Genomic DNA, 14,642 nt, shown 5'->3' with positions numbered 1-14,642 from the left:
GCACCCTTTCAGGTAAATAGGCTAAGGGATTCCTATGATCCACCCATCAGCCTCTGGGACACTGATCTTTATCATATTCAAATCCCTGAGCTCATCCTTTATTTTTCCCACTTTGTCTAGTGACAATAGGAGCAACCAGTCAATCTCATTATACTCATTAGTTTGCCAAAAATGTTAGAAAGTCTCACATAAACAGTCATTCAGATCTTTACTTCCTACAAGTGGTTCAGAGTATCAAATGGTGCTATTTTGTATATCGCTATCACCAGAGCACAACATGTACTATCAATGCTCTCTTTACTACTGGAAATAGAGTTATGAGAATCTCTAAATCCAATTACATTACAGAGCCAATTCCAAAACCCCAGAACCAATTCAGAAAGCTCATTCTTAAGATTCTGTTCCTCTAGACTCCATACCAAAATGTGTATTAGGGTTCTCCAGAGAACGGAACCACTAGTGTGTGTGTGTGTGTGTGTGTGTGTGTGTGTGTTTGTGTGTGTGTGTGTGTGTGTATGCACACGCATGTGTGTGAGGAGAGAGAGAGATTTATTATAAAGAATTGGCTCATGCAATATGAGGGCTGACAAGTCCTAAGATCTGCAAGCTAGGAAAGTCAGCAGGCTCAAAGAGAGCTGAGAGCTGATGGTATAGCTCCAGTCCAAGTCTGAAGGCCCAAGAAGCAAGAGAGCTGATGGTGTAAGTTTCAGTCTCAGTCCAAGTCCAAAGGCAGGAGGAGACTGATGTCCCAGCTCAAAGGGAGTCAAGCAGAGAGAGTGAATTCTTCCTTACTCAGCCTTCTGTTTTTATTCAATCTTCAACTGATCGGATGAGGCCTGGGGACATTGTGCAGGCCAATCGGCTATACTCAGTTTACTAATTCAAATGTTAATCTTATCCAGAAATACTCTCACAAACACACACAGAAAAAATGTTTAACCAAATATCTGGGCACCCTGTGACACAAAATCAACCATTACAAAAGATTCATCCACACTAGTTTACAGTTTACCAATTCTACCATCTCTGTGTTCTATTCTCTGAAGAGCAGCTGAGCATAAATTCCCCCAAATGTTAATATTACAAAAAAAAAAAGTTTTAGATTGAAACGAAATCAAATCAAGCAATAGTTTTGGATGCCAAATATGCAAGATGCATACTAGGCACCAACAGTTCTTCCGTGCTGATGTGATTATATAAAAATCATAAATATAGGCTTTCTGCTCCTCCCATTCCATAGACAGTCACATCTTGTGCAGTGCCAGCCATGTCCCTGAGACACGAAGGTTGAAGTGAAGGCCAGAGTAAACGGATTTGGCCTTACTGGGTGCCTGATCACTAGGACAGTTTTAACTGTAGCAAAGTGGTTATTGTCACCATCAGTGACCTCTTCATTGACCTCAATTACATGGTCCACATGTTCCAGTATGATTCCACCCATGGCAAGTTCCACGCACCATCAAGGCTGAGAATGGGAAGCTTGTCATCAATGGCAATCCCATTACCATCTTCCAGGAGCAAGATCCCATCCAAATCAAACAAGGGGATGCCAGTGCTGATTATCTTGTGGAATCCACCAGCATCATCACTACCTTGGAAAAGACTAGGGCTCACTTAAAGGGGACATGATTTCTCCCCCTTCTGCTGATGCCCCCATGTTTGTGATGGGTGTGAATCATGAGAAAAACAAAAACAACTTCACAATCATCAACAATGCTTTCTGTTCCACCAACTGCTTAGCACCCCCAGCCAAGGTCATCCATGACAACTTTGGCATCATGGAGGGATTCATGACCACAGTCCATGCCATCACTGCCACCCAGAAGACGAAGACAACCCCTCTCGGAAACTGGGATGACAGCTATGGAGCTCCACAGACATCACCCCTGCAATTAACTAGTGTTGCCAAGGCAAAGTCATCCCCACACTGAATGAGAACCTCACTGGCATGGCCTTCTGTGTCCCCACTGCCAACATGTTGGTTGTGGACCTGACCTGCCATCTAAAGAAACCTGCCAAATATGGTAACACCAAGAAGGTAATGAAGGAGGCACGGAAGGGCCCCTCAAGAGCATCGTGGTGCTACACTGAGCACCAAGTTGTCTCCTCCAACTATAACAGTGACATCGACCTTCCACTTTCGACGTTGGGGCTGGCATTGTCCTCAGCGATAACTCTGTCAAGCTCATATTCTGATATGACAATGAATTTGGCTACAGCAACAGGGTGGTAGACTTTATGGTACACATGGCCTCCAAGGAGTAAGAGCCCCCTAGACCATCAGCCCCAGTGAGAACACAACAAGAAAACAGAGGCCCTCAGCTGCAGCAAGTCCCTGCCACACTGTCCTAGACTATCAGCCCCAGTGAGAAAACAATAGGAAAAGAGGTCCTCAGGGGCTAGCAAGTCGCTGCCACATTCTGTCCCTGACATGCTGAGACTCTCCCTTCAACACAGTTTCCACACCAGACCCCCTGAAAAATGGGAGAAGCCTAGGGAGCCCCACCTTGTCATGTACCATCAATAAAGTCCCCTGCACTCAACAAAAGAAAAAAAACATAAACATAATGGCATTTTACCTTCAGCCTGATGTTTTACATCCTTTCTGTTTAACTACATATCTACTCAAATAACACACTGAGGTAGCATAAATATATGCCCATTCCAGGAAGTCTGTACATCCAGTTTTACTCCAGATGCATTTTCTTATGACTGGATTCTCTTTCTCACTGTTCTATAAACTCTTTGAGTTCCTCACTCAATTTTAATCACTTTTAGATAGGTATTCAATATGCTAAACAGAGATGGGCAAACACCAAATGCAAAATTAAATAAATAAGTAGTTTTATGACTTTTATGTATATTAAGTGTGTAGAGACATTAGTTTTTTACTTCTAGCATGAAACATCTATCTCATTGCTTTACAGACATGCTTTATTTGTACACTGCCTTAAAATTGGCTCTCCAGTTATTTTTATGGATTTCTTATCTCCAAACAGATAGTAAATTCCTCAAATGTCAGGGATCATAACCTTCTCTTCTTTTGAATGGTGTTTATGAGCAAAAATGTAACTGCTCAATAAATGTTAGGTGAATCATACACCTTTGTATTCTTGGTTGAACAAATGAAAGAATAAATGACTGCCAAATCCTCTGCTGTCTCTGTCGTATCTGATCTTCTAAGGGAAGAGATGGGATAGGGCATCTCATATCTAGCAATAAAGAAGTTGCTCCACATACAGAAGCTGAAACAAAAATTGATTCTGAAAAATTTACATTTCAAAACAGTGTAAATAACGGTGTTCTCGGAAATGGTGTTCTTTAAAATGCTACGTTATTCAAATCAACTCTCAGTTATTCAGGAGCTAATTATTCAAGGGTTGTAACCCAAGAATTCAATACTTATCCAAGTGGCCTCTTACTGAAGGTGATCAAATATGAGGTCTCTAGAAAGATGCCACCTTTGTAACCCTCTTGAAAAAAAATTTGAAGACAAAAAGAAGAAGAGATATAATTAACAACTCAGGAACAGAAAAGTCAGCATAAAAGAATAGGCAGTGAACATGGAGATCAATTAAAATCAGATATCCAAATAATTGCAAATCTAGTTATAAAACTAGAGGTAAATGTCAAAAAGAAAGGTTTCTTAATGAAACAAAGTCTTAGTTATAAAATAGATCTAAATCCCAAGATTTGATTAACCAAAGACAAGTAATAAGGGAAGAATAGAAGCACTCTTGAATAAAGAGGTTTCAAAATAAACTAGTTCACTCTTAATTTTGGTAATTACAGAAAATATTAATGAATGGTTTAGGAAAGTTTACAAATAACACATATAAAATAAAATCAGGATGTATAACTTCTAAAAGATTTAAGAAAATTAAAGGAAGTAGTTGATTTGTGTTTGTTTATCAAATACGTTTTGAGCAGCCTCTGTTTATCGGCACTGCTCCAGTTTGTGTATATACAGCAGTGATTTGCAACCTAGAGACCCAAAGGGTTGATAATGTCTCTTAAAGTGAGTCTAAAAACAACTCAGAAAAAAATATGTTGTTTATAAGAAATAGTCATAAAACAAACAAAGCCAAAAGACTAAAAAGTTAAAAGTTTATGGCAAAGACCCATGAGACCTTGAAGGAGGGGCCTGCAACTCTTTGACCAGCCTGCTGGGTTGTAGACTTTCTGGATGACCCAGCCCTGCCCATTCTCCAGCCTTGCCTTGAGTATCTCTTCCAATTAGTCATAAGGCTTAATTAACTCCAATGACTCTTAAGGATGTAGCACATTCCCTGGGAAGTACATTTTTACTTATCAGAGTGACTGGAGGTCCCTATTAACATTTAATGGGTTGAGCTAGCATGGTGAAGAAACTTCCTTCATTCCACACAACTTTAGAATATCCCACTAAATATTCATGTAAGTTAAAACATTTCTTTGAAACTTATTACCCAAACCTGATTTTTTTTTTATATTTAACAAATAACTTTTGCGAGGTTTTAATATAAATGACTTCTGTGTTAATCAAGGGAAGTGGTATTTCATTTTATTCAGAAATTTACCAAATATTGTTCCTCATGTAGGAATATCAAGTCATCAATAGCAACCTAACTCATGAAATGTGAGTTACCAACCAACATAACTATGCTGTGTTTCATTCATAGTGATTTGATGTTTGGATTACAAACATCTGACAACTTCATTATACCTTCTAGAATATCTGTGGTCAACAATTCACACCTAAAATTCTTATTAACTTGCAATATATTTATTGACTTTTGTTTCTTTATTGTATCCCAGTTAAGGCATTTTATTGATTTTTTTTTGAAATGAAGTATGTAAGTACATGTGAATTTCATTTCAGGATAGTAAAAGGGGTACTGTAAAATATTTGTTATAAATGGATTTCACATTGGCTTCCCTTAAAATATTCCAAAATGCCAAACTTTTTCCCAGCCCAGGGTTTCCATATAGGTAAAGTTCACTGCCCTCCACCCTTACTTCAAATCCTAAAGATCTCAAAACCCTCACTTCCCTGTCTGTAGGCTGACTTCTTTGGCTTTTTACCTCAGCTGTCCCATCATGGACAAAATGTCACCTCTGCTGAGAAGGGTTCCCTGCCTCCTCTAGCAATTGTGTTTCCTCTGTAGCCTTCCATATTTTCACTTTGTTTCTTTCAGAGCTTTTATCACCAATGCTAATTATTATGCTCATTTATATACTTAATATCTATTTCCCCCAATAAAAGGAAAACCAAGTCTTTTTCATTGTTATTGTTCACCACCATATAGCCAGGGTCTAGTACATGGCCTAAAACATGATGAGCGATCAATAATAATTGGTCGAATGAAGGAAAGCTGATAGAAATTCAAGGAAAAAACGGAAGAAGGAAAAAATTTCTTAATTATATAGGATGAATTTAAACACAGCTCCCAATCTTGGAGGAAACCAGTAGGTGATAAATAAGTGCAAAATCTCAATATGATTAATAAGATTGCTTTCAGAGACAAACACTAAATTTTTTAAAAAATACATGTATTTATTTATTTAATAACTTCAACTTATTTTACATGCATGGGGTACATGTGCAGGTTTATTACCTGGGTATTTTGCATGATGCTGAGGTTTGGGATACAACTGATACCATCACCCAGGTACTGAGCATAGTACCCAATAGTTAGTTTTTCAACACGTATATCCCTTCCTCCCTCCTCCTTCTAGTAGTCCCAGTGTATATTGTTGCTGTCTTTATGTCCATGAGTGTTTAGCTTCCACTTATAAGTGAGAACATGTGGTGTTTGGTTTTCCCTTCCTGTATCAATTCACTTAGGATAATGGCCTCCAGCTTCATCCATGTTGCAGCAAAGGGCATGATTTCATTCTTTTTTATAGCTGTATAGTATTCCATGGTATATATGTACCCTGTTTTCTTTATCCAGTCTGTTTATGGGCACTTAGGTTGTTTGCATGTCTTTGCTACCATGAATAGTGCTGTGATTAACATACAAGTGCATGTGACATTTGGTAGAACAATTTATTTTTCTTTAGATATATACCCAGTAATGGGATTACTGGGTTGATTGGTAACTCTGTTTTAAGTTATTTGAGAAATCTCCAAAGTACTTTCCACAGTCATTGAACTAATTTGCATCCCACCAATAATGTATAAGCATTCCCTTGCTCCACAGCTTTGCCAGCATCTGTTGTTTTTTTGACTTTTTAATAATTGCAAACCACCATGGTACATGTTTACCTATGTAACAATCCTCCATATCCTGCACATGTATCCTGGAATTTACAATTAAATTATATTTCAAAAAATTAAAATTAAAATTAAATTAAATTAAAAAGCCACATTATAAATTGCAACAGAAGCAACTAAGAAGTCTAGAGAGGAAGGTGTGGTGTCTACATTAATTTTTAACATCAGCAGAACTTCATCATTTGAGGAAAACCTGGAGGATTTGAAGAAAGCCTGGAGGATTTGAATCTTGGTCTTTATGACTCCTGTGGTGATAACAGGAGAAGACATAGTATAGAGGACCCCTAGCTCCAGTGATGGACATAAATATTGGCTGATGATGTATTCTTAAAGTCTGTTTTCCTGCAATGATACATAATAAGTGAGTGTGCTCTACTTCAAGACAAAGGTACAAACAACCATGGAAATGTGGGGATATAAACAGTATGTTCTTTGAGATTACTGAGTTGGCATTACAAGTACCCTTCTAAGTGATCAGTCACTAGCAGTGGAAGTCGAAGAGTGTGTTGAGCTGTCGAAATTTACTTTTGCAATTGGGTGAATATTCCACTAACTTTTGTTTTTTGGTTGCAAATAATAAAACCCACTTAATTCAAAAAGGACAAAGGACAAGTAAAAGGGACAAAATGTTATGATGACCTTGAGGTATGCCATGGAATCAAAGGCCTATCAATGGCATTAGCAAAGTCTAGGAACATCAGAGGAAACCCATCCAAAACCAAGACAACGGCTCTTCTGGTCTCCCTTTCTCACTCTTGCTCTCATTCTGTCCATCTATGTGGTCTCCTCACTTTATCTATCAGCATGTGTTTTTATATATAGTAGAATGATTTCTATTCTTTTGGGTATATACCCAGCATGTTGGCTTCCTATTTCTCTTTTTTTTTTTGAAACCAATGTGACTCAAAATGACCAACACAATAGAAAATTCCTTCCTCTCTTCAGAAATTTGTGTTACTCAGCTAAGACAACTGAATAAATCAGCTAGAATTTCTGAATCTCAACTCCAAATTCCTGGAAACAAGACTAAATTGACCCCCCATATTTAGAAGTTTACCTCTAGTCTGATCTGCTATGGCCCAAGAGGAAGAGTTGTGTGCACTGTTGTTAGGCCTGCCCATGGGGGTGGGTAGTGATAGTGCAGCTCTAAGGGAAAGAGGGTTGTGGCTGGGCATATGCCCTAAAGATGCATCTACTAGGCTGGAGTTTTTTTAAGTAAAAGACTATAAAGTTAGAGAATAGAACAAACTTGTGTTCATTTTTATGAAGAAAGCCTGGGTGTAAAGGAAAAGCTCCCAAACCATTCCCAGAAAGCTCCAAATATTCCAAAAAGAAAAAAAAAAAAGAAAAAGAATTCTACATCTCCTTTTCTATTATTTGACTTTTTTACAAGTAGTCAGCTGAGTTCACCTAGAAAATCTTTTGCATTACTCAATGCCTGAAAATAGCAGCAGAGAAGAACTTTTCAAAATAAGAGACTTCTCCAGTCTCTGAAAGATATTTCTCAGTGAATTTGTTCTCAGTTTCTGCTTCTGATGAGCAGTTGGACTGTTACCTTGACACTGATTCTGGGAAGTTGTGCCATTTAGAATTCTTTCATATCTTTATATCTACTGTCTACATATTTTAGTTGAGAATTAATCAGACAAGCTCTTGGAATTAAAATATGGTCCATAGCATGAGAAAAGATTATTTCCTCATTATCTGTCGATGATATCTCTCCCTCAATAAGTTAGTAGGTTTTCTGAAATGATATATAGCTTCCAACTTTTGCCTACATTTCTGAAAGCTAGAAAAACATGTTAGTAGCTAAATCCATATGTTATCTGTAGAGGTGAGACCAGGAAATTGTGTGGAATAATGTGGCAATTGATATCAGCTTCAGCCAAAAGTAACTTGCAAAATAAGGTGAGTGGGGAAGAAAAGAACTAATAAGCACTGACAATAAAAAAAATTATATAGCATATTTTTTAGTCCTAATTTTGTAGCTATCAGAACTTTTATAATTAAGTCAAACAACATTCTTCTATTGAAAAACTTTTTTTGAACAACTCTTGTGGTTACAAATGTTTTCTTAGAAATAAGCCTGCAACTTCCACTCCTAGGTTCTAACACAAGCATCTGTGCAATCATTGCATTGAACAAGACTCCAAAAGTGCAACAGAAAATAAATTTATTTTTACTGCCACTGCCATTAAAGCTTGCTCTGAGGAGCTGGTTCTTTTGTTTTCATGCCCTTATAAACACTTGGAAAGTCCCCGTGACTTTTTTCTTTATATTCATATGATATATATATCTCTTTCCCCACCTGGCACTTTTCCTCCCAGTCACTCACTAGGCTACCTCTGCCGCCTCCAGGTTGAGGATGGAGAGAGAGAGGAGGCAAAGATCAAGAAAGATCTCATTTTCATTGGTACTTTATGGCAGTATAAGTTTGATGCTGTTTGATCTTAGCAGACATTTAAAGTTGGGCTTTCTTTCAAGCCCCTTGACATCCCACCATCGTTGGATTTCTTGCTAGTACTTCCCTTGACATTTCAGTGTCCTTCTTATGTGACACTCTGGGGCAAGATCCAAGACAACTCCTCTTGTGTGACCTTATCCAGCCCAGAGGAGATAACCATGCATCCTTAGCTAGACTAACTCTAAAGGAGCAAGTAGCAATGGTCTGGTCAAATGGCATTAAGATCCCAATTTCTGAGCAGGTTAGTGCCACTGTATCTACCTCTTTTCTCACCACCGTCACAGCCAGATAACCATAGTCTTCAGCCATGTAGATATATTTTTTGAATAAGCCAGACAGCAACTTTAAGAAAAGCATGTCTAGCTCTCAACAGTGGTTCAGTCCACTAAAACCTCTTTCCCTGAACTTAGAAAGAGAAAAAAGACCTTCTTTATTCCTACCACACATGACTGGGGAGAGTGAAAACACCCTAAGGGCCCTCTCCACAAATATCATCTTCAGGACTCCAGGTGAACCCATCTATTCCTTGAAGGAAGAAGAGTTGCTAATGGTTGCCTGACTGGATTTTGAATACCCCCTTGGAAGTCTTTCATGATGTTTTAATGCATCACTCTCAAATGCAGAGCAGCTGGCTGCCCACACTTGGGGTGTACAGTGGAAAGTTAAGCTGATTTAGTTTTATTTTAAATTGTGCTACCTGTGGGAGCACAGACAACATGGATAATGCTTCTTCCACGGGAAGTCTTTTCCACAGGAAAGCCTTTCAAAGCCCTTCAAAATGATGCTCAAGGCTCTTTAGAGTTTTCAGGTACTTCACATCCATTATAGTATTTGAAACTCCTCTGTAAGGTAGGAAGGATGAGTACTAAATGAGGCCCACAAAGAAGTAGAACTTACTTGTTCAGAGGTCTATACTATAAAGTTCTGACCAAGAATCCAGTGCCAAACCATGAGTGAAAAAATTGTAAAGCAAGCAGAATTGTTTGATAAAATAGAATTAAAAGCCCAATTATTGAAGAAGATACCATCAGACTGTGAAGAGCCCCTGGAAAACAACCACCACTTCTCTAGTGATTCCTACTGGGAATCCAGATATGTGTATTTTGAATAAGCTTTCCAGGTGATTTTTTTTTCTGATATGTATGCTTCCTTTCCCTTTCCTTCCATTTCCTTCATCTATACCATTCCCATTCTGCTACCTCCCCAAGAATAACTGCCCTAATAGGTCTGAGAAAATAGTGGTAGTGAATTAAGACAATTAACCAAAAACCAGTTGACACAAAACAATATTTGCAACCCAGAAACAACTAGTTGTTTGTATGCACAGCCCACACTCACCTGCCAACCTCTCAGCTTTGCCAATCTATTAGGTTGAAGATGTGTAGAGAATTCAAAAATGGAGAAGCAAAAACAGGAAAAAAGGGCCAGAGTCCATGCTATGGCCATGTATCATGATACACTTAACTACCAAGCACTTCTTAAATTATGTCCTAAACTCCTAAACTAAACTACTCCAAAGATAAAGAGGTAGCTGCCTATGACCTTTCTCCTGTCCTTATATTTAATTTCCTTCTGTTTTTCTCTTTCCAATATTTTTCCTGCCAAGTTGCAGCATTAAAAGAGATTGAGGAAATCAATCCTAGGAAATAATTGAGGTGTAAACAATTATATTTGACTTAGGGATTCCTTGACACACAAATCTTAACTCTGTCAGAATATTCAGAACACATAGTCATTGCAGCAAAATACCTAGAGAAAGAATAAGAAACAGTTATTTAATTTAGTGTGTGAGCAATAGGCAGAATATATCAAGTTACAGGAGAGGATAGGTAAAAGAGAATGATGTCAGTAATTATGCAATACATATATAAGAATTTGGTACCTGGAAATGGAATAATGCCCAAACAAAAAATCTAAACTATGAGCCATTGGTTCTGGGACTGAAACTCTGTCTTTACTAAAAATACAAAAAATTAGCCAGGCTTGGTGGCGGGCGCCTGTAGTCCCAGCTACTCGGGAGGCTGAGGCAGGAGAATGGCGTGAACCCGGGAGGTGGACATTGCAGTGAGCCGAGATCACGCCACTGCACTCCAGCCTGGGCAACAGAGCAAGACTCCATCTCAAAAAAAAAAAAAAAAAGAAGAAGAAGAAGCTCAAAGGGCCTAGGGAGTCTGTTGGTGGGAGTGAAAAAAAATGGTCGTGGGAAGTTTGGCAACACTGACACCTGTGGTCATGTGGAAAATAGAAAGGATGCCTAATGAATCTGGGAATCGGTTCTGGGGAGATTGCCCCACAGAAGGTAGAAGGTGCCAGCTTGCTTCTAGATGCCTATGACCACAGACTAGAAAAGACTGACAGGCTTAAAAAGGAACTATTAAGCATTCCAGAAGATTTTAGAGAAAATATGAAGAATCTAGGACTTGCTTAGTTTGAAAGTAAAAATTATTCCTTATTCCCAGTCTCTCCCAGCAAAATATTCTCAGTGAAATAGCTTCAAAGCAAAGCTGAAATCCAGAGTGCCATCAGTAAAGCATGACTTCAAGTTAAAGATTTCAAGGCATGGCTGTAAGACCATTCCGAAATATTTAAGTCCTAGTAGGAAAGAATCTCTGGGGTATGCTTCACAGACCTTCTCAGTTAAGCAGCTGGACTTTTCAGAATCATCAGGGTATTATCCCATAACAGGTTCACGGTTGCCAAAGGTAGAGAAGGGGGTATCTAAGAAAGAAATATTGGTGTGGCTTTTGTCTAAAGAAGTTTATTATAAAATGATGCCGAACAAACTCATAAAGTTTATAAAACAATTTTTTTCACTTTAACTAAAAGAGACAGAAACAGTTTAGAATGAAAACACATTGCTGGATCCCAACCTTCTATGGGCAAGAAGCAGGCTGAGAAAACTACTCAGCTCTAAACACAGGTCACATAGAAAAGGAAGGATAATTTTGGCAGAACCAAAAGCCCGGAGGATTGAGCCACGAGCCATGGAAAAGTCTCCCCAAGGAGTAGGGCAGGGCCATAATCAAGGAACTGGCAAAATATGCTTGATTAGACTTTAGAACTGCTAAGGACTAGTGACTGCTATGTGCCTACCATTTCGTTCTGAAATGGAATGTCCATTGGGGTTCCCCTATCTCTGAGCTACCATTGTGTATTGTGGAGGTTAGTCTCTTGAGTTCATAGTTCTTCAGATAGAAAGTAACTGTACTCGATGAACTGTGCTTAAGGATCCTTATCTCTATCTTGCCTTAATTTAAAAGATGAGATCCTGGACTTTGAGCTGATAGCAGGAGGTGGCCAGATAGTAAATATTTTAGACTTGCAGGCCATAAGGCCTCTGTCACAATTATTCGACTCTACTATTACAGCATGAAAGCAGCACTAGACAACATATAAATTAAAAGGCATGTCTATGTTCCTGTAAAACGTTATGAAAATAAGTGGAAGCCCATAGTTTGCCAATCCCTGATGTAACGGGATGAGGTTTTAGTGATCTAGAACAAGTATATTTTGCATATGAGAGAAGTATAAATCATTCGTGACCAAAGGGTAAATTATAGAAAATTAAAGACGGCCACAAATCCTCTGACACTCCTCTCTGAGAAACTGGACAGACTCTGGAACTCCTTTGACCAATTAAATACAGCAGAAGTGGCATCATGTTAGTTTCCTCACCCCTAAGACACTGGCAGCTTCCTCTTCCTATCTCTCAAAACTTACTCTTGGAGCCCTGAGGCCTGAGTGTAAAGATTCCAACTACCAGCTGAAGAGACCTTATGGAGAGACCTTCAGCTCATCTGGCGAGGGAAAAGGGCCCAGCAGAGTCATTGTGGTCAAGATACCCGGCAGGTGAGTAACGCTGCCTTGAAATCTCTAGACCCTGGTAAGCTACCAGTTAAAAACTACCAAGTGACCTCATTCAACACAACATGGAGTAGAAGAATCACCCAGCCAAGATCTGTTCAAATTACTAAGCCACAAAGTCTTAAGAGATGTGAAAGCTGTTGTATTTTAAGTCACTAAGTTTTGGAGTTTTTTATTGCAAGAAATAAGTCAAACACATGTATACACATACATATACATCCACCCCAATATTAGGAACAGTTTAGGGATTGTGGGGAACTTAAGTTTGGAGTTTTCTCTTGTTTTGTTTTTCATGACTTACTATGTTCTTCAACTTTTAAAAAAACAAGCTTGAAAGTTTTCTTCCTGACCAAAACAAAGAAAAAAGTAATTGAGAGGAAATCTGGACTCAAATAAAGAGATATAACATGGTCAAAATGACCCTTAAGAGAGAGCAATTATTTTTTCAGCTCCAGCAGAAGGGCCAGGCAAGGAGGCTGACAAAGAAACTTTATCAGAGCCCAGAGGAAAGTTGATTAGGATCTGGCTGTGAAAATGGCGGGAAAGAGGTAGTTTTTTTTTTTAATGTTATCCAAGAGTAGATGAAACTTACTCCTCTCACCTTCTTCATTTCATCATAGAGATGTGAAAAGGTCACAAGAATTATACCCAATAGCAGCAAGACTGTATCTCCATTTTTCTGTCTCCATCCTAAATCTGAGCAAGGAATAAGTGAATATAAGCAAGGCACATTTTTGCATCTCATCAGACTCATAGAAACAATATTTGTGTTTTGTTTTTTTCAAAATTGATTTCTTTATTTTAATAGTCTTTAAACATTGGAGTGTCCCAAAAAGTAGGTCACCTGCTCTTGATCTAAAGAAGGCCCCACCTCCTGACCCCAGTTTACCATTGTTTCAAAACACAAATGCCAAACTGGAATTTCTTAGCAGACATTAAGTATTTCTGCTGTACATTATCAAAGTTCACAGGCTGCCTCCTAATACGTATTCTAGGGATATACTGACCATATCCAAAGTGACTTTTTTGGCAAGAGAGGCAAGTTGTTCTCTTCAGCAAAATGTCCAGGCAATCTGTACCCCACGTACTGTATTCTAATAAACCATCTAGGGCACTTGTCAAATAAGTAATTTGCATTCTAAGAGATTAAATTTTAAAGGCAAATATTTGACCCAATTTGCAACACCCCAATTTTTTCAAACGTTGCATCTCTTTTTTTTTTTCCATCTGCACTTGCACAACAACAATATGAAGAATCTGTACAACAGGTGGCTTATTGATATGCCCTGGAAGTTCAAATTTCTGCTTTAATTCTCCAGAAAGAGAGAGAGCAGACATCTTAATGAAGGACAGCAGAACACATAAGAAACTAATGAAAAGAACACGATGATGCCCCAGAGGTGTCTAATACATTGTGTATTTCATTTTAAATAAAATCTGATCATTTTTAGTTTCTTGTCAGATGTATATTCTAAGCTTGTCTTTCATTCCTGCTGCAGGAAATTCTTTACTGACACTGAATTGGAGAAATGATTATTTTTCCCCAACTCATGGCTTTGTGTTTCTGGAAAGATGATTTTCAGCATGCAAGTTGGATGCATCCAAAATCATACTGATGCAAGACCAGAGCTTCACAACTCTTTTTATAATTTCAGAATGAGTTTGCTGCCCAAAGGAAAACATAAAACACACCAAAGCTAGAGAAAGACGGTAACATCTCTAAATAGCTTAGAAATTTCTCCCTGCCTGATGAGTTGCTTTTATTAAAGAGTTTACTGTTTCTCCTCAAATTTGAATGGATGTTTCTAAAAATGGAATAAATGGTGAAAAGACAAGAGGAAAGAAGCTGACAAACTGTAACCACAATAGCATTCAGCCTCAACCAAAGGAATAGAACAATAAACCTGGAAAGATGTTATTTATATAATAATGATAGTAATAATTTATATAATTTATATAATGATATAATGATAGTAATAATTATATGATAGCCTACTACATGCCAGACACTACTGTAAACCCATAGTGTATAGTGACCCATTTAATCTTCACAAC

At 38.2% G+C, this 14,642-nt stretch overlaps 1 pseudogene; it reads left to right on the top strand.

Annotated features, from left to right (window-relative positions):
• GAPDHP41 (glyceraldehyde 3 phosphate dehydrogenase pseudogene 41) lies at positions 1,216-2,349 on the top strand (annotated as a pseudogene).

The sequence above is a fragment of the Homo sapiens genome, chromosome 6 (genome assembly GCF_000001405.40).
Source record: "Homo sapiens chromosome 6, GRCh38.p14 Primary Assembly".
NCBI classification, from domain to species: domain Eukaryota; kingdom Metazoa; phylum Chordata; class Mammalia; order Primates; family Hominidae; genus Homo; species Homo sapiens.
Note: the sequence above shows the minus strand (reverse complement) of the source record. Positions and strands in the feature narration are given on the sequence as shown.